A 21,823-nucleotide genomic window follows, 5' to 3' on the forward strand; every position below is an offset into this window, starting at 1 on the left:
AATTATAATCAAAACCTGGACAGAATTTTTAATGGAATTTGGCAATATAATTCTAACATATACATGGAAAAGTAAGAGCTAAGAACATCCAAGACATTTCTGAAACAAAGAACACAGTATAAAGATTTGCTGTAATAAATATCAGGATTTATTATAAGGCTTTAGTAATTAAGATAGTGAGTTATTGGGGCAGCAAAAGAAAAATACACCAATGGAACAGAAAGATTCCCATGTGTGTACAGAAACATAATTTGTTTCAGGGATGGTATTGTAGGTTAGTATGAAAGGGATAGATTATTCAATAAATAGTGCTTGAATAACCAGTTATCCGTATAGAAAAAAAATTAGATACAACCTTACAGCATATTTAAATGGCAATTTCAGTAAGACTAAAGGCTTAAGTGGGAAAAAAGCTACAAAACTTTTAGAAGATAATATAGGAAAATAGCTCTTGACTTCAGACTAGAGAAAAATTTCTCAAGATACAGAAAGTAAAAACCATAAAGAATAAGATTGGTAAATCTGACTACATTAAAGGCACCTAAGGAGAATGAAAAGCCAAGCCTCAACCCAGAAGATTTAGCCAAACCTGCAGTCATGAGTGGATTTGTGTTCGGAGCATGGAAAGAACGCCTACATTTCAGTAAGAAAGATATAAACAACCCAATAGAAAAATGACAAGAGACACATTGGACTATTCACAAAAGACAAACACATATTGCTTATAGGTATAGGAAAAGATGCTGAAACTATAATGAGTAATTAGGACAATGCAAGTTGAAACTCTAACGGGATACCATTTTACATCTCTCAAACTGGTATAAAGTATGATATGGTAATGGTGAGGATGGGATACAAGAGAATTCTGCTGACGGGAGGGAAAAGTTACACAACCGCTTTGGGAAAACACGTTGCCTGCACCTGGTAAAATTGAACAAGCACATAATTCACATCCCATTAATTCTACTCCTAGGCATATTCTACACATATGCACTAGGAGACATCCTCAAGAGTGTTTATAGCAATATTGTCCACATTGGCCACAATCTAGAAACAACCCAAATGCCTGTTGACAGTGAAATATGTAAGTCATGGCATACTCTTATGATGGAATACTATACAGTAGTGAAAATGAGTTACAGTCATGTGGAGCATTGGGCCACAGAAGATACCATACAGTGTGATTCCATTTATGTAAGTTTCAAAACTAGTGCAAACTAAACAATTTTATTTAAAAATGCACACCTAGCTGGTAAAACTACAAGAAAAACAAGAAAAGGAATAACCAAAATCTAGTTAGAGGGCTATGGGATTAGGGAGGGGCACATCAGTCACTGTTCATCAGAGGCTGCTAATGTTGTTTCCTTACCTGGGTGAGGGATTCATAAGAGTTCCTGAACATATATGTTTTGAACACTATTTGGTATAATGTGGTATATTTTACAATGGAGACAAAATTAAAATGATAAAGAGTTTCAGCTCTCACTGCTCCAGGTAGGGTGTGATGGACAGTTTGGTCCCCGATCTGACCAGCCAAGGGGGGAGCCAAATTTGTCTGGGGTTCCAGCAGGTGTGTCAGATGTAACAATGAATGCTATGAGAGAGAAGAATACAGGGGCCTCTTCTTTATGGGTGAAGAGTGGTCATCACTGTTAAGGAAGGTGGCCAGACATTAGTGGGTTAAGCCACCAAAAAGTAAATAGCCCCAAATTCCTTTCAAACTGTATTGCTCAATGTCAAACACACTGTAACAGTTCAAGCAGTATTTGTGCCTGTCTTCAAAGGCCATGCAAGCTTACATGACCTAGTTTATAATTAAGGTGTGTGGGGCTGACAGGGCAGTCTGGTGGGAACAGAGAGAAAGTCTTGTTATAAAAAGTGGTATTTGCTTTGCAGTAGATGCTCAAACTTCATATGTCAGATTGTCTTGGGCAATGAGAGCAAGAAGTTCACCCTAGGTGGAGGCAATAAGAATGGCTTGTATGCAGAGAATTTTTAAAAAACAAGGATAAAGCCAGGCTTGGCCTGTTTTTTATTATCCCCATGAGCCTGCAGCTCCAAACAGCATCAGTCATGAAGTACCTGTACCTTCTCTCTGGGTTGATTTTTTGTTTTGTTTTGTTTTGTTTTTGAGATGGAGTCTCACTCTATCACCCAGGCTGGAGCGTGCAGTGGTGCAGTCTCGGCTCACTGCAACCTCCGCCTCCCGGTTTCAAGCGATTCTCCTGCCTCAGCTTCCTGAGTAGCTGGGATTACAGGTGCCTGCCACCATGCCCAGCTAATTTTTGTGTTTTTAGTAGAGACAAGGTTTCACCATGTTGGTAAGGCTGATCTTGAACTCCTGACCTCGTGATCTGCCCGCCTCAGCCTCCCAAAGTGCTGGGATTACAGGCGTGAGCCACTGCACCAACTGGGTTGATCTTTTGACCCTTGGTGCTAAGCTGATCCTGGAGACCCCCCACCAACAGTCCCACCAGCTGGAAACACCATGAGGGCAGGGTTCATTTCTGCATTTCCCTTAGGCCCTAGCACAGCTCCTGCCACATGGCAAGTGCTCAGGCAATGCTTATTGTTTTAAGCATCATTAAGATTTCATACTTAGGTAAACCATAAAATCAGATATTGTAGAGGACAAGAGCTGAGGCATGAAGGAGGGTGCACTGGGGAGAGCAACCAAAGACATGGGTGGGCCTGGGTCAGGCCCTGACTCCACTGCCGGCTTGACTTGGACACCGTGGTTTCTGCACCTGTGATCCCATGGGATTGACAGCAGAGATAAATGGACCTGAATATTAGTGTATGGCTGGACACAGAAGAAGTGCCCAATACTCATAACCTCTGAGGTCTAGACACCAAATAGCAGGGTAAGGAGATAAAAGAAATACATATGATTTTAACCTGGGGGAGGAAAGACAGCAGTGTTCTAGAAAGCAAACCTGGGCTCTGGGTCTCATCTAGACTGGCATCTAAATTGCAGTTTTAGGCCAGGCGTGGTGGCTCACGCCTGTAATCCCAGCACTTTGGGAAGCTGAGGTGGGCAGATCACTTGAGGTCAGGAGTTCGAGACCAGCCTGGCCAACATAGTGAAACCCCATCTCTACTAAAAATACCAAAAAATTTAGCTGGGTGTGGTGACATGCGCCTTTAATCCCAGCTACTTGGGAGGCTGAGGGACGAGAATCACTTGAACCCAGGAGACGGAGGCTGCAGTGAGCCAAGATTGCACCACTGCACTCCAGCCTGGGTGACAGAGTGACTCTGTCTCAATAATTAATTAATCAGCTAATTAATTGCAGCTTTGCCACATACTGCTTGTGTAACCCAAGGGAAACAGAAAATGACACGTCCTTTGCAGGGGTACCGTGAGGATTAAACGACACAGGTTAATTCACTTACTATTCATTCAGTAACTATTTATTGGATGTCTAATACATGCTTAGTATGGTCTCTGGTCATGCAACGAATGTTAATTCCCCTGTCTCTTTGAAGGAAGGACTAATGGCTGGACACTAATATTAAAAGAGTCAGTGGTATTCAATAGAAGGGCTTGGGAGAGTAGTGCTCTTGTCATGAAATAGCACTTCAGTCTGGAAATCCTCTAAGTGATTTCTGCACCTGAGGGTAAAAGAAGAAAAAAAGTCAGAAATTACATGGTTCAATATTTACTGAGCCTCAAACATGTGTCATGATTGGAGAGGACCACTTAAGACATTGTGCTTGACCTTAGGAGCTCGGAACCTAGGGGAGGAGTCTAACATCCACACAGATCACGGTGGCAGCATATGTCAGTGTGGTGGCCCAGTGGTCTAGTGTGGCAGGGAGGCAGTCACTGATGTCCAGGGCACCCGAGGATGTTTCCTGCAAGAGTAACCCAGGAGCTGACTGTCTCAGGGTGACTGGCAGTGGCCCGGTGGGGAAAGGAGGGATGGCACAGGCAGAAGTGAAGCACAGGTGGAGATGCGCTGGAGGAAGGCATGGCTTGTTTGGAGACTCCCGATGGTCCCCTGGGATACAGGTCACCACACTGGATATGGGACACCAAGGGTGCTTTCCTAGCAGCAACCTGGGGCAGAGGAGAGGGAGGATGTTGTACTGGACCATGCACGTGGACCATGCACTGGGCATAAGGGCATGACAGAGGCTGGGGCAGTCACCAAAGGTTGACTCTGAAGGTACAGTCCACAGGTTGGGGCAGTGGCCGGGAGCCCTAACCTCAGTCGGTATTAACTAAAAGGCCACCAGGCAAGTGGGGATTGAGGTGACAGTTGACATAAAGGATAGGGGAGCAGTCATTGCTCTGGAGGACTTGTCCATGGGGCCATGATCACCGCCATCAGACTAAGGGCCTACACGAGGCACCTGTGCCAGGGGAGAAATGGGGCCAAGGCAGGGCCTCTTGGGGACATTTAGAAGAGGGGACCAAGGCAGGACCATGTCCTATAAGCTGGGTTAACAAAGGCAGCCAGGGAAGAATTGCACCCAGATTTACCCCTGAGGACTGTGGATCTCAAAAGTGCATGGGCAAATCTTCCTTTGACTTGGGATCTCATCTCAAATGTGGCCTCTACTGAGCCTTCTGTGACCACACTGTGCACAGCAGTCCCCTCACCGCCATCCTTCACTCTCTAGCCATATCTTGTTTCCTTTCAGCACTCATTATTGCCTGGAAAGGTCTTATGTGCACGTTTGTTCACTGTCTGCCTCCCCCAACAGAATGTTAGCCTCAGGAAAGTAAAGCCCCGGCTCTTGTCCCTGCTGTGTCCAGCTGGACACCAGGCCTGCATGGACACTTGGTGTGTGCTGAGAAACTCAGCAGCAGCAGGAAGACTCCAGCCACATGGGGCTTCAAGGCCAAGGTGGAGTCAAAGGAGACAATCTGGCTGGGAACAATGGCTTACACCTGTAATCCCAACAGTTTGGGAGGCCAAGGCAGGAGGATCACTTGAGCCCAGGAGTTGGAGACCAGCCTGTGTAACATGACAAAACCCTGCCTCTACATAAAATACAAAATTTAGCAGGGCATGGTGGTGTGTACCTGTAGTCCCAGCTACCTGGGAGGCTGAGGTGGGAGGATCAGCTGAGCCCAGGAGGTCAAGGCTGCAGTGAGCTGTGATCGTGCCTCTGCACTCCAGCCTGGGTGACAGAGAGAGACCTTGTCTCAAGCAAACAACAGCAACCCCGTCTCTACTAAAAATACAAAAATTAGCCTGGTGTGGTGGCAGGTGCCTGTAGTCCCAGCTCCTCGGGAGGCTGAAGCAGGAGAATCGCTTGAGCCCAGGAGGTGGAGGTTGTAGTAAGCCGAGATCACGCCACTGCACTCCAACCTGGGCAACAGAGCGAGACTCTGTCTCAAAAAAAAAGAAAAAAACCAAAACCCAAAAAACAAAAACCAAACAAACAAACAAAAAACAAAACAAAACAAAAACAAACAAAAAGAGATAATCTGAACACAAATAGCTTTTCGAGAACTCTCATTGTTTCTGTCCTAGACAGGATTCATTCAGAAAATGGCGTGGGCCTGAGCTAGCCGGGTGACAGAGGGCTGTGGGAGTCCCACATGAGGAGCTGGCATGATGGTTGAGGTTAATGCTGACATCAGGGGTACCCAGCAACTGAACTGGGGTGGGGACGGCAGGAGAAGTGACCGGAGAAGACACGAGGGCCTGATAAAGTGTCTCAACCCTGTGCTGATGGGTGGGGACTTTCTCCTTTGGGCAGGGGAAGCCTGTCACTTCCCTTGCTTAGTTTTTAAGCAGGGGAACTGACAGGCTTAGATCTCTATTTTAGAAAGATTAAACTGGTTGCGATGTGGTGGCTGACTGGAAGAGGGGGTGGGCAGGAAGCAGGGAGGCCAGATAGAAGGTGGGTCCAGATATGAGATGATGCTGGTTCTAGCTGAGGGAGTGGCCATGAGTTTGTAGAGGAGCAGGGTGGATGTGAAGACCAGAGAGAGGCTGTGGCTAATGCTTTCCTGAGGGTAACAGTAGTGCAGGTGTAAGACTGCGTACTCAGGGAGGACTTTGGTTATTTGGATGCTTGTAGGAGGGCGCATTCTGCTAAAAGGAGACTACAGTTTTTGCTAAATCCTTGACAAACCCAGCTCACAGAAGTTGAAGAAAGGGCTGAGAAGGGAAGAGGGAGGGAGGGAATGAGCACTGATCATAGGGCAGGCGTGCACGACTTCACTGACTCCTCACATTTCTTCCATCCTACAGCAGAGGACTGAGGCTCTGCTTCTTTGCCTGAAGTCACACAGCTGGAGTGCAGCACGCCAGAAGTCACCCCTGCACCTGGACTCCACTCCTAACAGCTCGTTGGGATGTGGTTGGTGTATCCCTCAATTGAGACCTCAGGGGGCGGAGCACGTGCTCAAGCAGCTTGTGCTCTGGACTGAGGAGAGCAGGTTTCAAAATGCCCATGGACAGGCAGGCTGCCGGAGTGACGGGGACACTGTTCCTGCGCTCTGGTGCTGGGTTGACTCACATGGGGGGCCAAGCTGCCTCCCCCTCATCTCACCTGTCCCAGTCCCCAGCTGCCTTCCCAAGTCCCAACCAGAAACCAGCTTGGAGTGAATAACAGGCTGGACCATTAGGCTTTGTGCAGATTTTCTTCAAACAGAATGACCAAGGTGCAGCCCAAAGCAGCCAGGAATGTTGGGATGACTTTATTTAACCAGGACACCGTGTGCATGCTCTCTGGCCCATTTCAGGCCTTGGTTCTGGACTCAGAATTGGTTAGAATCAGTCTTCAGTTTAAATGCCTATAAAGTGAGAATAATCATTGTTCCTTCTTCATCTGGTGAACGGGGGCAGTAGGTGAGATAGGGCCTGCAAAGGGCCCAAACAGGATTTATCTCGAAGACCCCTGAGTACCAGGGGTCTGAATTCTTAGTGTAATGCTGAGTGGCTGCTCGCAGAGCGCTTAAATCAGGGAAAAGTTCTTCTCTGCTGCCATCTAGTGGCATTTTGGGAATAACACGTGCGTGAAGGTCCGCAGAAGCTCCTGTTTCCAGGCTTCTGAGCCAATAACCAAAGAACGTGTTGCACTTGGGGCCGCGCTCTGGCTGCCATCACCTGTGTACTGGAAACTGCCCACTGGCATATGGACTCATGGGGCAAGACCTGCCACAGGGCCTGGCACATCCTGCACGGACCACCTTCCCACCTGGCTCTGACCTGCGGATGTTTTGGAGTCAACAGTGTGCTTAGAGAGCCTCTTAAGTCACCACATCTTTGGGAAGAGGGGCACAAACCAAAGATTTATTTTGCAAGTGAAAGGGGCAGCCCAGGAGACCCAGAAAAAAGGAAGGCAAGGCTGAGAGCAGAAAGCCTGGATAAAGGAAGACCACAGAAAGGCCTGCAGGAGCCAGATTGCGGCCCCCAGGGAAAACCCAGGAGGCAGGCTGTAGAGTGATCCTGGGCCCAGCCTCAAAGCTGGGACTGGAGGGGCTTTAGCGACTCAATTCCAGGTGCAGCATTTGCAGGAGTTGCTGAACACCAGGCCTGTCGGGCAGCTTTGCTGGAACAGCCGCCCCGCTGCACAGCTGTAGAAGCTGGACCGTTCCCGAGGATTGGGATAGAGCCCATCAGCTTTGCCCTGGCAGAACGTGTCTTGTCCAGGGCTGGGGCCATGCTCAGGTTCAGAGGGCTGACCTGGTTTTGGAACTTCAAGCTCTGGGGTGCCTGAAGGCAAGTATGGAAGACCTGGGAAGACAGTGAAGATTCAACCAAGGCTCCCCCGAAGAGATCCCAAACCCACAGGCAGAGCACACAGGCAGCAACCATTGGCTGGCAGCAGCCCAGCACCACATGCCCTACAGGCTGAGTACAGCCAGATACCCCAGGCAGAGAACAGCCAGACAACAGCCATACCTACAGCTGAAGCACAGTGCCACAGGCAACACCTGGCCTCACATGTGACAGGCAGTTAAGGCTTTACCCATCTGCAAGCACAACCATATACTGCTGAGGGCAGGTGGGGGTGCCACGCTGCAGGCTAAGGGGAGGCTTTCTCCCAGGTAAGAGAGGAACAAGGTGCTGCTCCCAGTCTGGGGGCCCTCTGGAGGGAAGCCACGGTTACAACAACCCTGGGCAGGCATTGCTACAACCAGGAAGAGAAAGACCGCAAAAAGGAAAATTGTTTTGACAGTTTCCTTAGCTCCTGCGGGTACATGAAGCTTGGGAAATTACAGTATTGGGGCAAAGTCATTTCCTCAGAAGGACCCGGGACCTACAGTTCATTGGATGCATGGAGCTGTGTTTGTACCCCACCTCCAAATTCCACCACTGGCCCTGGGCCCCTTACTTACTCAGTTCCTGCCGTAGCGTCTGGATGAGGGGGTATCGGCCCTGGTTGCAGGAGAAGCCGGCAAAGTCATCTAAGTCCAGTGCCCAGACCATGGCCCCGCCCAGTCCCTTCTGCTTCAGATAGCTGACCTGTGCAGGGAGGGGATGCAGTGGAGGAGCCCGGGGAAGCCTGACCCGGCCACCCCAGAGCCTGGCTACCTCTTCTGGACAGGGCCCTTTTTGCTCCAGCAGCCTCAGGCCTGTGAGTGGCTGTAGATTCTGGAGACAGCCTTGGGCTGGGAGCCTGGATGCTGAGTCCTCATGCTGCTTGGACATCAGTCATTTTGCAGTCTCCTTGTCTTAACGTAAGCATGACCTGGGGTGGGGTGGGTGCAGTCGGGAGGAATAGTGTCAGTTGTGTGCACCTCCCTAAGTGGGAACCCTTCACCGCTTGGTCATGTGTGGGCTGAGCTGCTTTATTTAAGGGTATTGTATGCTGGTCAAGGTCAAGGTCAAGGTAAGTCCAGTTACCATAGGGAACAACTCAGATTTCCAAAAGATCTCAATCAAGGCTTGCTTCTCTGTCTTCATGTCTTTGTCTTCCCTGAGAGCCATCTTCCCTCCACCAGATTCCTGAGGCTTCCTGAGGGTATGACTGTGTGTTCCCTCAGAGTGGGATTCTCTGTCCTCTAACCCTGCCAGGGGGCCATGGTGCTTGATCCCTTGCTGGCCCCAGCCTCCCTTTCAGCTAGCTCCCTTCCTCTACCTGCCCTGCTTGGGGGTCCAGCTATGTGGGCCTACACTTTGTTTTCAGAGTCCAGCCTTTACTTTCTCTGCACCCGCGTCTTTGCTTGTGCAGTTGCCCGCTCCCTCACCCCTAAGAATGGCCACCTTCTATGCTTTAGGACTTATCTGAAATACCCTTCCACCGTGACCCCTTCTCCCATCTCCCCAGCCAGGATCGTGCCCCCCTGCAATTGTCCACCTCTAGAAGCTGCCGCTGTCAGCCACACATGATAGTTGATGTGGGATGTACAGATAAACTAGTGAAGCATCCGTCTTCAGGAGCTAACAGTTTCACAGGGGAAAATGGCATGAAACCAGGTAAATGCACCAATATTGGGCAGGAGAAGGGGGTCCTATAAGTAAAGCAAAAGGTCTGTAATTTGGACATGCACCAGATATTGCCAATGGGCTGAAGAAAGCTATATGTCTCACCATGTGTATTTCTCCTCTTCATATGTCTGTAGAATTTGTATGGTATTTAATAAAATAGAAATACTTTCCAGAGTGCTACTAAATGTAGAGCAATTTTTTGTCATTTTGTCTTTTCTGAGTCAATAGGTAGTAAAGGTACAAAATACTATCACGTGGAGATTTATGAAATGTTGGGACATTTAAAGGAGACTCACCCTTGAGGTCCTGAACTGTCCTCATTCCATGTCATTGACAGGACTTGTTCACTAGGACCACCCCTCTGCCAGCAGAGCTGGGCCTCACCTTGGTTTTGAAGCTCTCCACATCATCAAAGCCCACCCACTGGTTGTCCCGGAAGATGTAGGGCACCTTCTGATCCTGGATTCTCTGTTTGGTGGCCCCCTTCCAGGAGCAGACCTGTGGGAGCAGAAGGCAGCACTGGGGAGGAGGAGGGAGGCTCTTGCAGGCACCTTCCCTTCCTCACCAGGAGGAGACTAGAGATTGGAAAATTCCTGTCTGAGGAAGCCTGGAGAATCAGGAGGTTCTTTGCAGTGACCTAGAATTCTGGACTCAGCTTGAGGCACCTGGGCTTAAGGATAAATTCAAGATGGCATGGATGAGATGGAATTTACATGGCCAGAATTCTCTGCAATTGGCATCCTTACTCAGAAACGGTGGGAGAAGGAAACCTCTGTTCTCTCAGGCACCCCCTGACCCTCACAATACCCAGGGTGGTTATGGGTTTTCCTACTTCATAGTAGGCCAGCATCCCTCCTTCCTTGGTGAAGGGGCCTGGAGTGCCAGACCCTGTGGCTGGGGCCCCCACTCTGGTGTCTGATGAGGAGGCCAGTGTGAAGGAGCGTCCGTAGGTAGGCATGCCAAGGATCAGCTTGCTGGCAGGGGTCCCCTTCTGCAGCCACTGTTGCACAGCAGCATCCTGGTGGAAGAGGGCAGGGTTAATTTTCTCAGCCCTCAGCCTGGTTCTGATTATCTAAGTCTGGGGGATCCAGAGGCAGAGCTAGGAGGGCAGGGGCTCCTCAGCTGGAGCTCTACGGGCCTTTGTTAGGATTCCAGCCCTACCCCATCTTCTTTAGAGCCTGCCTTAGACCCGTGACCCCAGTGAAGAAGCTGCATGGCATGATAACCAGAGAGCGTGGGCTTCGGACGCAGACAACCATTCACTGAACAAATGTGTACTGATGGCCCACTGTGTGCCAGGCGCTGTCCATGGTGCTTCAGACACATCAGTGAACAAGGCAGACACAGATCCCTGCCTTACCCAGCAGCTTATTTAACCTCACTGAACCTTGGTGTTCTGTCTGTAACATGGAAATAAGGAAAATATCCATCTCTTAGGGCATTGTGAGAATTAAAGGTTATAATGCATGTAAAAGGTCAGCACAACGCAATAAAGGGTCGCTGTGGTCATCATCGTTATCATGATTGTTGTCTTAGTTTTACCCTGAGTACAAAAGCAGGGAATTGGGTCTGCTTTATTTATCTCTGTATCCTCAGTGTCTAGAATGACACCTGATGCTCAGATAGAACAAAGGCTTCCTTACCCACCTTTGAATAAGGCCTTCCCCTGATTATATATTACTTGGTGTAACACCCCCAGGCCTGTGACGGGAGAAGGTACCCGGTACAAGTATGATAAATTAATGAATAATGAAGCCTCATTCCTTAAGCCAAGAGTATGGTTCACTTTCCCCCAGAAGCTGCCCTAGTTTTGTCAGGTCTAGTTACTCTGAGCCCACTTAGCACTTAGGTAAAGAACAGCTTTCACTACATTTATTTAAATATATTTCTTTTTGTCCATCTATACAACTTATCTTTGATCAGATGGGTGCTTTCTGAAGGCAGAAGTCGGGGCTTCTCCTGATCTGTTATAGCACTTTTGTGCAAGTTGGGAAAAGTCACCCATCTGGTTAGAACCTGTCCCCGGGCACACTGTGTGGTGAGTAGAAGGCCTCTTTGTAGGAATAAGATGGCCTCCATTCCTCGGTGGATTCAAGGTACACAATGTGGAAAGCAGGGTGCTGGAGGGACTCCCACCCCACTCACCTCTCAGCTAAATTTCTTTCTGTGTCTCCCCACCAGCACAGGGATACAGCTTCCTCCAAAACTCACACAGTCTTCCAGACAGGGATGGAGAGGCCAGGCTCAGTGTGAAATGTGGGTGCCTGGCTCACTGGCTCAAAGAGGTGCTCTTTATTCATGAAAGAGCCAGAAAATCAAAGATGTCCCACTCCAGCTGACATACAGAGATGTGGGCTCTCCAAAAGTAAAAAGCATTTTAATTTAGGGCTTTTTCTTTGTTGTTTGGTTTTGCTTGTTTTAAGAAAGAAAAATAATGTAGTTATTATAAGCCCTCTCTGCAGGGTTTTATAAACCCTCTCTATATTTTAAGATATATAGAGGGCTTATAAAAAGGATCTAGGCTGGGCATGTTGGCTTGTGCCTATAATTCCAACACTTTGGGAGGCTGAGCCAGGAGGATTGATTGAGGGCAGGAGTTTGAGACCATCCTGGGCAATATAGCAAGACTCCATCTCTACAAACTTAAAAAAAATTAGCTGGTCATAGTGATCCCAGTTACTCAGGAGGCTGGGGCAGGAGGATCGCTTAAGCCTGGGAGGATGAAGCTGCAGTGAGCTATGATCATGCCACTGCATACCCTCCTTGGTGACAGAACAAGATTCTGTCTCTTAAGAATAAATATATAAAATTAAAAAAAATTAAAAGTGTCTTGATTGCTCAATGAGGAAAAGTTAGGAAACCCCAACCTACCCTAGTCTAAAAACCAAGCCTGCCCTTTGCAGGTGCTGGGAGTACTTCCACCCTGAGTGACATCTGCAGAGATGTTATCAACTTGGGAAAGCTCCTGTCCCTGAAAGGACCTTCCAGAAGGTCAACCAGTGTGACCATGGAGCACAAGTCTGCCCACTGTCTTGAAGGAAATGGGGTGGGGGTGTGTGAGGGAAGCAGCAGGCCTGCTGGCTGGAGACTCAAGCTCAAAGTGGGCTTCCCCATTGGTCACTTGTTTGTCATCAAACTGATTTGCTGCCTCTACCATCAGCCAAGATGCTCCACAGAAGTGAGGTTTCCCCTCAGCAGGGGCACGGACCAGGAAAATAGAACAAAACAAGCAAGCAAAGAAACAAAAAAGCTTCTTGTTTCTCAGTGCCCTGTGTCTTTTTTCCCATGAGGGCCTCGGGGCTCAAAAGAAGCCACCAAACAGGGCCTGCTGGACAGGGGAGTCCTGCCTCAGCCCTCCTGCCACACGTACCACGTTGAGGCTGGCTGCTGCACCACTCTCTTCTTGCCTCTTGTAGAGGGGGCTGTTATGTCCCGTGACCTTCTCCCAAGAGCCATGGAAGTCGTAGGCCATAAGGTTGACAAAATCCAGGTTCCTGCAGGAGGCATGGAAGAGGAGGTGAGAAACAAGGGATTGGGGGTGGGGTAGCCCTTCTTTCTCACTCCTACCCCCTCAGTGCATGGCCTAGGGAGGAACCACTGGGGTCAGAGGCAAAGGTGGCAGGCTCACCTGGCTCTGCAGAAGGTGACCCAGACAGCAGTCCCAGCCAGCCCCCTTATGAAGGCCATTCTCATTCTCACTCAAACTTGTCACCCTCACCCCACTGTCCCCTCAGCACCCCCAGGCCCTCCCTATTCCACTCAAGAAAACTCCTGCTACATTGCTATTCTGGAGGGAACTCTAGCTTAGGGTTTCTCCCACTTCAGTGTGCACACAGATCACCTGGGAATCTCACTAAAATGAAGGTTCTTCAGAAGGCCTGGGGTGGGGCCTGAGAGTCCATAATTCTAATGAGCACCTGGTTTTAATGAGGGCTGCGAGTCCACATGCTGTACTTTGAGGAGCAAGGATCCAGAAAACCCATTTTCTTGAAGACAATGGCTTCACTACCCACTCAGAGGCATTTTCACCTTAAGAATGAGTTCCCGAGGAAGAGGACAGAGATCCAAAATGAAGGATCTGGAACAGGGCAGCAGTGGACACTGAGCAAAGCCTTTCTGGATGTGTCTTAGTTTTACCCTGAGTACAAAAGCAGGGAATTTTCTGCTTTTGTTCTGGTGTAAGGATGGGACTTTCCAAATGCCTTGTAGATGAACACCTGCTCTACCCATGGGAAAGCTCAGTCTGCCCTTGGCCTCTCTTCCCTCAGAGAGCACAGCTCCAAGCCATCTGCCTGAGACTCACTGGGCGATTTTGTCCACCTCGTATCCAGCATCCACATAGGTCTGCCCAGCTGGAACCGCTGCACTCAGAAGAAGGCGTTCCTTCCCTGAGGTCTGGGCTTCCTGCTGGAAGGCATTGGCCAAGTCCTGTGGGAGTGGAGCTCAGAGTCAACACAGGGGCGCGCACCAGGCAGGCAGCCCCTGTGAGCCCCAGGTAGATGTTCACTTGTAGAAGTCTGAGAGCTGGCCACAGGGCTGATCTGTGCCATGCAGATACGTGAAGCAGCTGGCTCTGGGGGCAGAGCAGCCCCCACATGTGCTGTGGGGGCTCCAGCTCTGGGTCCCTGCACAGACTGGTGATCCCCGCCCCGCCCAGCCATACCTGTACCAGGGTTGTGAAGCGCTCCTTGTCTACGGCAGGGCTCCCCTGGCTTCCTGGGTACTCCCAGTCAAGGTCAAGGCCGTCAAAGCTGTATTTGCGCAGAAACCTGATGGCCGAGTTGACAAAGGTCTGACGGTTGTTGGCCGTGGCTACCATATCTGTGAACCTGTGAGGTGATGAAGGGGAGTAAGGGCCGGCCTTGGACCAGACAGGAGGCCACTCTTACTCAGAAGCAGGCAAGAAAACACTCAGGACAGTGCGTCTCTGTGTCTGGGCTAGGAGGGGCACTGGGAGGGCTGCTTCAGAGGCTGCAGGGATATTTGCTGGTGAGTTATGGTCCGGGTTGAGGAAAGGGGACCATCCAGAGCACTTTCTACCCCCGAACATCGACATCACCAGGGGCACATGGACACCCTAGGAGCCTTTCCCAAAATTCCCTCCAGAGGCTTCCTCCAAGCCCTTGAATTGTCCCACCCCAAACCAGAACTAGTTGACACCCTCAGAATGGAGGTTTGAAAAGAAAAGGAATTAGTTTCTCTAATTCCTCTTGTAAGGTTTTTCTTTAAGTAAGATTTTTCTCTAATTAGAATTTCTCTAATTCCTTTACTAAGGTTAGTAAAGACCTGGGGAGCCCACTGTTTTAGTTTCCTGGCAGGTTAACCTGGTCATCTTTCTTTTAACTCACACCCGTAGAGCGCTTTGTGTTTTTGTTGCTGTTACTAGTCCAGAGTTCGTCAAAATCCCCAAGCTGCCCCAAGAACCACCTCTCCACATCTTCCTTCCTTAGTGGGAAGTCCCTGAACTTCTTGAGGGGGTCTCAAGTTCTTTACAGATTGATCCTATTTTATTTTTATTAATTTAGTCCGAGGACACCAGGCTAAAAACTCCTGCTGCATTTCAATAAACAGTCTGTATATAAGCATTATTTTGGAAGATGAGTAATCACTTTCATCAGATTCCCAAAAGGGTTCATGATCCAAAAAAGTTTTAGAAAGACTGTTTAGAGCTTTGGGAGCCCTATATTCTGGATTTTCTAGAAAACACCAAGTTTCAAATACTCCATTCCATTTTCTCCATAAATCATTTAAAAAATGTCCCCCAAATGCCAATACTCTGGCATCCAGGCTCAATCTCACAGATTACCTTTTGTACTCAGAAGTGGAATAAACACTCTTTCTGGGACAAGGTACCCCATTTCTGAGCTCAGAAAACATAGACACTGCATGTTGTCAGGATTAGTTGGGACCCTCCCTCTTCTCATTTCATGGAAGACGAGACTGAGGCTTGGAGAGGTCTGAGCCCTCTGCTGTGTTTAGACCTATGCTTCTGGCAAGACTGGATCTGAAACAGCCTGGAGCAAAGCTCACTGTGCTGCCCTCCAGCTGAGGTGCCAAGAACCCAGAAGGAAATTCAGCCCTCAGAGTTCAGCTCCCCTCCCCTTTCCCCTGACCACACCTCAGCCTGGCCTGATTCCCTGACCAGGGCTCCCTCTGGCCAGTGCACCAGGTTCCCATCCAGGAGCTTTACCACACAGGTGACCACAGTCAACTAACTTCTGAGTGCCGAAATTCCAGCCTCCGATGGCTAACAGGGTCTTCAGCTTGGGATTCCTGGGAAAGACAGGAGACACAGCAGGATTTACTCTGCCAGCTCCCAGGGCACCCTGGCAGGGATGTTACAGTGGGGAGGAACAACAGGGGTGGGGACGTGTGAAAGTGCCTATGTGCAGAGACTGTATTAGGCATTCTGGGGACAGCTGTAGATTGGAAAAGGGAAGTCACGTTCCTGACTCACAGAACCACCTGTCTAACTGTGTGGGCTCAGGAAGCAAGGATTGGGGCAGATTCTCAAGAGGCTTTGTGAAGGCGCCCAGAACACTGGAGCTGAAGGGTGGATCAATTTCATAATGAGGAAGGGGCTTCATGGGAGACAGAAAGAGTCTCACAATCCTGATCACACTTAGACCTAAACTGGAAGGGACCTTTGGGATCCCCTAAGCAAACCCTACCTCTTTCATTAAGCACAGGAGAGCCCAGAGAGGTGATACAACTTGCCCAAAGCCACACAGTGGGTCTGTGGCAGGACCTTAGTGCTGGAGAGGTGTCTGGCTCTGGGAGGAGGTTATCTGTCACCCCACCACATCCCACCCACCCTGCTCCTCTGCTTTGGCTCACATCTTCTTCAGGCCATTGAACTCCTGGTAGAGAGTCTCGTCATTCCACTCAGTGGTGCTCAGCTGGTGGTTGGTCATGCCAGCGAAGGCGTAGATGAGGTGGGTGCAAAGGCTGGGGTCCAAGTCCTTGGGCAGGAAGCGAGCCTCCCCCTGTCTGTACTGGGCCCAGTTGGTGAAGTAGCAGACCAGTTTTGCAGCAGAGCCTGGCCCGTTGGAGTAAAGAAAAGGGATAGCTGTCAGCAGGACCTTCTGGGGACTGGTCACCCTCCATCTGGGGTAGGCAATGTCCTTGGACCTCCCTCTTCTACACCTGGAGTCAGTGGAGGGACCCGACAGGCAGAAATGGCATTTGCTTTTGTGTGGATGGAGTCTGGCAGTTGGGAAAGCATTTTCAGAGGCCAGACATGGGATCCTCAGAACACTGAGTGGGCAGGACCATCATCTTCTAAGCCTTCTTTTCCCGGGAAGCAAGTTGAGGCTCACGAGCTTGGGGCCCGTCCCCATCAGCATGGCTGCTAAGAGGGCAGAGCAGAGGTGCTGCGACCCAAGTCTCATGACTCCTTGACATCCTTGAAAGTTGCTAGTCTCAGAGTCCGAGCTCCCAGGATCAGGGTCTGGCAGGCAGGTCTCCCTATCCCCAGTTAGGGTCTCCCCTCCAGGCCCTGAAACCTGACAGAAGGTAGCCCCAGGCAGCCCCAACATGAGGCCTAGAGGGAATTAGACATGGCATGCTCATCTGCAGAAGGAAGGCAGGCAGAACTTTCAAAAACGGTTTGGAATACCTCAGAATACTTCGTTAAAATGCAAACAGATAAGTAGCAGAGAGGAGGCCCCAGTTACAGGCCTGGGTTTATGTTTCTTTAGTCTTGCATTAAAGCCATTTGCATTTGCTTGTTATCCCTTGTAGATAATCTACGTTTATCAATATCACTGCTGAGATTCTAATAGAGCTAATTTTATCTAGGAGAAGGCATCTTGTCTCTAAGTACCCCACACACTGTAGGGTACTTGTCTCTAGAGTACCCTACAGTGTGTGAAAAGACTTTGCAGGGGTGGGATGGTCTATTCCCAGTGAGGGCTCGGTGGTGATGACCCCCACTGAGGTCAGCCCTGTGCAGGGTTGACCAGGACACCAGGAAGCAAGAATGCTAGTCTTCATTCCAGCATCTGCCAAAAATAGACTTTGGGTCTATCTCATCTTCAATCCCGGCCCCATCTGATAATGACTGTGTGGTCTGTGGGGTCTCTTCCAGTCTCTCAATCTATGATGGTGTGGTTTGTATGAGCCAACATTTTATGCCAAGATCTTGATGGAGCAGTGAGTTTGGACTGGAGCGTGCCTGTGGCTGGTGTCTAGAACCTGGGACTTCCCTTTGCCCCAGCAGGGTCTGTCTGTACCCCCTCCAATGCCCACATGGACAGGGATGGGACGAGGAAGAGGAGGGGTGCAAAGTGTCTATAGGAGAGTTTTGGGAAGAGACCGCTCAGGCAGGCCTCAACTAGAACCCGAGAGCATGGAGGGCTGACCTTGGGCATACACGTGGCCCCGGAGTGGTCACTGTCTCTAACCAGAGGTCACCCAGGAGTGCAGCTTGCTAGTGGGGCTGGGGTGTAGCCTGCAATGATACAGGAGAATTGGTGAACTCCCCAAAGGAAAAGAAAGGAAGGAGGGGATGAAACCAGATAACTCATCCCCCAGGCCATGTAGGAAGGAGCCAGGAAGCTCTTTTTCTATCATGTCATGCTGTCGCATATCAAATATTGTTATGAATTTCTGTACTATGGAGAAAATAAAGTGCAGTGGTTAACAGCAGGGACTCTGGCATGTCAGTGTCTGGGTTGAAATCCCAACTTTGCAACTTACTCGCTGTGCGACTCAGCTTCCTCCTGTGTGAAACGGGGAGACCATTGGACCTTCCACAATGTGTGTCACAGGACCCCAGTGTGGGCTAAAGTTAATATATGTAAAACACTCGGAGGAACACTGCAAGGAAGAAGTTCTGTTCTAGGTGCTTCACATATATTAACCCTTAGTCCACACAAAGTCCTACTATTATTACTATACTGCAGAAAGCCCAGAAGTAGCCTGGACTAAAGCTTTTTGAGAAATCTTCCACCTCTCATCTTCCCCATGTTTGCTGTTTCTGTGCCCCCGGCTGTTCCATCCTATGAGGCTGAGAGGGAAATGTACCTCCAATGCTACAGCCCAGCGTGAGAGGCACAGTCGCAGGACAAGTTCTGAGAGGCCAGCATTCCCAGGCCACTGATGCCCAGGGAATGGGGTGGGACAAGACGGGGACCAGGAGTTCAAGTTGCTGAAGGTCCCCCAGGTCTCTTTTCCATTTGACACAACAAGGAGCTCCCTCCTGCCTCTCTCAAGCTCCACATCTGATCAGTTCAACAGACCAGAAGCAAGTGTGTTGTCCTCGCAGAGCTAAGGGGCTGGGGATGCTGAACCAGATGAGACTTAGGTTCCTTACCTGCAGCAACTTGGAGTCTGAGACTGGTGCAGAGAGACACCTAAGCCAATAATGAGAGGCAGTACTGTACTGTAAAACACACAGGTGCTGCAAGAGCACAGAGTGCAGAGGAGGGAGCCAGCAACCCCAGGAAAGGAAAGCCCTGAAAGAGGCTGATGCGCAAGCTGGCCCCACAGATGTGCAGGAGCTCAGCTAATGGATAAGGAGGCAAGAGCCTTCCTGGGAGGGCTGGTAGCAGATGGGGACATTTGCAGGGGTCTGAGCTTTGGAAGAGAGTCCCCACTGAAATCTGGAGCTCTTGGGGAGGTCTGGCAGGGAAGGTGTTTTGGGACATTAAGCAGAGCCCAGGGAAGGGGCTGAGGCAGCCAAGAAAGAGGCTACTTACCCCATGGGATCATCAGCAGGACCATGAAACCTGGAGCAACACAAGAGAGAAGGCCAGGGTTATGCTGCCATTCTCACCTTCCCAGGCCCCACAGCTTACGGAAGCACAGGAGGTGGTCAGGGAGGGCTGATTTCATACAAATCAAGCTTTCTCCTTTCAGAAGGGACCCAGGAGGGCACTGTGCCCATCCCTTCATGCAGACCAGACCACGGGGGTCTCTTCCTGGCCTGGGTTGGTCCTAGAAGCTGATGGAAAGTTCCATGGGCTGAGGCTGCCCCCTCTCTATACCTCAGTAAAGGGCAGTGTGGATTCAGGAAGATTGTGGAAAAACTGCTGACTTGTGAGTTATTTAGAGAGATAGTTTCTCTTTCGGAACAAGAAACAAGCCTGTTTTGGGGCTAGAAAGAATCAATCTGGAAGGGCTGCATGGAGAGAGTTCATCTCCTGGGGAGGGCCTGTGCCTCTGCTCCCATCGTTTATGGCTTCCTGTTGCCTTTCCGCTACCTGGCTGTGGTAGGCAACCACAGCCTTGGAGACCTAGGGTCTGACAGGACTCCTTCGAAGAGATCTCTTTCACCTGGTGACCTTGGACTTCTCTGTCAACCTAATAGAACCTCCATGAAAATTTGCAAGGATGCCCAGGATCTTGGCCCCAGGCTGCCCTCTTGCAGGACAGACAATATGAGGTTGGAGAAGAGGTTCTTGGCAGTGGGCGCTTCTTGGATAAGGCCAACAGGAGGGACCTAAGAACATGGGAAAGACACAAAGACCCAGTGCAGGGGCCTCATTGACTCTGGGCTTTCAGGACAGAGAGAGGAAAGTCAAGTCATCTTCAGCCTGTTGAGAAAAGCCTTCCCTTGCAACATGAAGTCTCTTGGGCTGAAAGAGCCTAAGGGGGAGCCCACAGGAAAGGTAATCAAGGGACTGCAAGCCAGGAGGCATGGAGAGGGATAAAATGACCCTCTGAAGTTCTCCTGAGTCCTCCTGCTTCCTTGCAAATGGTAGCAAGTGGTCCCTGAACATCCACATCCCCACCTCCCCACAGCTCCCGAGACCCAGCCCACTATCCGACGGCTCACCTGCCCAGGCCACAGACCGCACCATGATGCAGCTCAGCGGCAGGCTGCAGCCCATACAAACCAGCTTTCCAGGTCCTGCTCTGCTTTTATCTGGCCACCCTGTCCCACCCCAGCCAGGAGTGTTGCAATCAGGGGCACTGGGTGGGGGGGATGGGAGCAGGGTGGGGAGGGGTAAGATGTCAAGCAGCATGAATTGGGCAAACTTGACACAATGGCCTTTAGCAATTCTTGCTTTTCTGGAACAATCAGAGGGTGACTCTTAGTGTTGCCAAACAGAGGAAAGCGGGAAGTGGCCCTGAACCTCCTGATGGATGAGCATGACCCTGACTTTCTTTGTGTAGTTGGTGAGGACCATAAGCAGCCCCAGACTTAATAGGGCTTTGGAGGAAGAGAAATGACTCACGAGTCAGGCAGCTGGGTTCCAGACCAGCTCTCTTGCTTCTCCACTGCCCTCTCTCAAACTGTTTCTCCATCTAGAAGATAATGGGGTTGCAAATATAATTTACTTTTCATGATAGTAATAGTTGCATATCCATTGATGGAGAAAAATAGATAATGATAAATAGTGACTATAAGTTTGGTAATGGCTTGAAATGCCTATGTTTCTTATGAAGAATAATAATGGTGGACATTTGGGCCAGGCATGGTGGCTTACACATGTAATTCCAGCACTTTGAGAGGCCGAGGCAGGTAGATCACCTGAGATCAGGAGTTCGAGACCAGCCTAACCAACATGGAGAAACCCCATCTTTACTAAAAATACAAAATTAGCCTGGCATGGTGGCACATGCCTGTAATCCCAGTTACTCGGGAGGCTGAGGCAGGAGAATTGCTTGAACCCAGGAGGCGGAGGTTGTGGTGAGCCGAGATCGCGCCACTGCACTCCAGCCTGGGCAACAAGAGTGAAACTCCATCAAAAAAAAAAAAACAAAAAAAAAAAAACAGAAGAATGGTGGACATTTGTGTCGGTTTCCCAGAGCTTCTGTAACAAATGGCCACCAAACAGGTGATTTGAAACAACAGAAGTTTATTCTTTCACAGTTCTGGAGGTCAGAAGCCTGGAAACAAGGAGTTGGCAGGGCCATGCTTCCTCCGAAGGCTCCAGGGGCGAATACTTCCCAGCAGCTTCCAGCTTCGGATGGCCTGTGGCATTCCTGGGCATGCAACGGCATCGTTCCAGCCTCTGCCTGCCTCCATTTTTACACGCCCTTCCTCGCTGTGTCTCTGTATGTCCCCTCCTTTCTGTCTCTGAGAAGGACATTCTAATCCAAGATGATCTCATCTTGAGATCTTTACCTTCATTACATTTGCAAAGACCCCTATTACAAATACAGTCACCTTCTGAGATTCCAGGTGAAGTTATCCTTTGCGGGGGGTGGGAGGGGGTCACCATTCAATTCACCACAGGACCCAAGTGGGCACATATTACTGTAATGTCTGCAGACAATGTCTGGTGTATGCATGAACTCCAGGGTCCCTGAGAAAGCTCTGCAGTTTCTAGGGGATCCAGTCTTTGGCCGGTGGGCTTAACATGAATGGCCTAGATGGCCACGTGGGAATATTGGGTGCGGCAGGCTGTGGAGTTAGGTTCCTGAGTTTGAATTCCTCCTCTGCCATTTACTATCTGTGTAAACTGAAGTGA

General features: G+C 49.7%; 1 protein-coding gene and 1 long non-coding RNA gene across 6 annotated transcripts, besides 3 other annotated features; both read right to left on the reverse strand.

The window, feature by feature from the left end:
* Positions 1-3,392: 3,392 nt before the first annotated feature.
* LOC124904485 (uncharacterized) lies at positions 3,393-4,057 on the reverse strand. The gene is made up of 2 exons (XR_007066797.1): positions 3,723-4,057; positions 3,393-3,615 (listed from the first exon to the last, which is right to left on the reverse strand). It is a non-coding gene; the product is annotated as an uncharacterized LOC124904485 (long non-coding RNA).
* Positions 5,902-6,658: an enhancer, noted in NCBI's record as "H3K4me1 hESC enhancer chr1:203184460-203185216 (GRCh37/hg19 assembly coordinates)". NCBI's record gives its function as "activates a minimal SCP1, AML or CMV promoter by ChIP-STARR-seq in naive H9 embryonic stem cells {active_cell/tissue: H9 hESC(naive)}" and the evidence as "EXISTENCE:reporter gene assay evidence [ECO:0000049][PMID:30033119]".
* CHIT1 (chitinase 1) lies at positions 6,649-20,669 on the reverse strand. 5 transcript variants are annotated; one of them, NR_045784.2, is made up of 13 exons: positions 20,182-20,243; positions 19,103-19,132; positions 16,239-16,440; positions 15,618-15,674; positions 14,065-14,230; positions 13,705-13,829; positions 12,772-12,895; positions 10,234-10,419; positions 9,786-9,899; positions 8,505-8,661; positions 8,309-8,435; positions 7,872-7,942; positions 6,649-7,703 (listed from the first exon to the last, which is right to left on the reverse strand). NR_045784.2 is itself a non-coding variant. In XM_047442899.1 (11 exons), the coding sequence occupies exons 1-11, from the start codon at positions 20,652-20,654 to the stop codon at positions 7,459-7,461; spliced, it is 1,446 nt and encodes a 481-aa protein (XP_047298855.1). In that variant the 5' UTR covers positions 20,655-20,669; the 3' UTR covers positions 6,649-7,458. The 5 variants fall into 5 exon arrangements, 3 of the variants coding, with proteins under 3 accessions (XP_047298855.1, NP_003456.1, NP_001243054.2); NR_045785.2 differs by lacking the exon at positions 8,505-8,661; XM_047442899.1 differs by lacking the exons at positions 7,872-7,942; positions 8,505-8,661; positions 20,182-20,243 and adding an exon at positions 20,585-20,669.
* Positions 6,659-7,414: an enhancer, noted in NCBI's record as "H3K27ac-H3K4me1 hESC enhancer chr1:203185217-203185972 (GRCh37/hg19 assembly coordinates)". NCBI's record gives its function as "activates a minimal SCP1, AML or CMV promoter by ChIP-STARR-seq in naive H9 embryonic stem cells {active_cell/tissue: H9 hESC(naive)}" and the evidence as "EXISTENCE:reporter gene assay evidence [ECO:0000049][PMID:30033119]".
* Positions 7,415-8,170: an enhancer, noted in NCBI's record as "H3K27ac-H3K4me1 hESC enhancer chr1:203185973-203186728 (GRCh37/hg19 assembly coordinates)". NCBI's record gives its function as "activates a minimal SCP1, AML or CMV promoter by ChIP-STARR-seq in naive H9 embryonic stem cells {active_cell/tissue: H9 hESC(naive)}" and the evidence as "EXISTENCE:reporter gene assay evidence [ECO:0000049][PMID:30033119]".

The sequence above is a fragment of the Homo sapiens genome, chromosome 1 (genome assembly GCF_000001405.40).
Source record: "Homo sapiens chromosome 1, GRCh38.p14 Primary Assembly".
Lineage (NCBI taxonomy): Eukaryota > Metazoa > Chordata > Mammalia > Primates > Hominidae > Homo > Homo sapiens.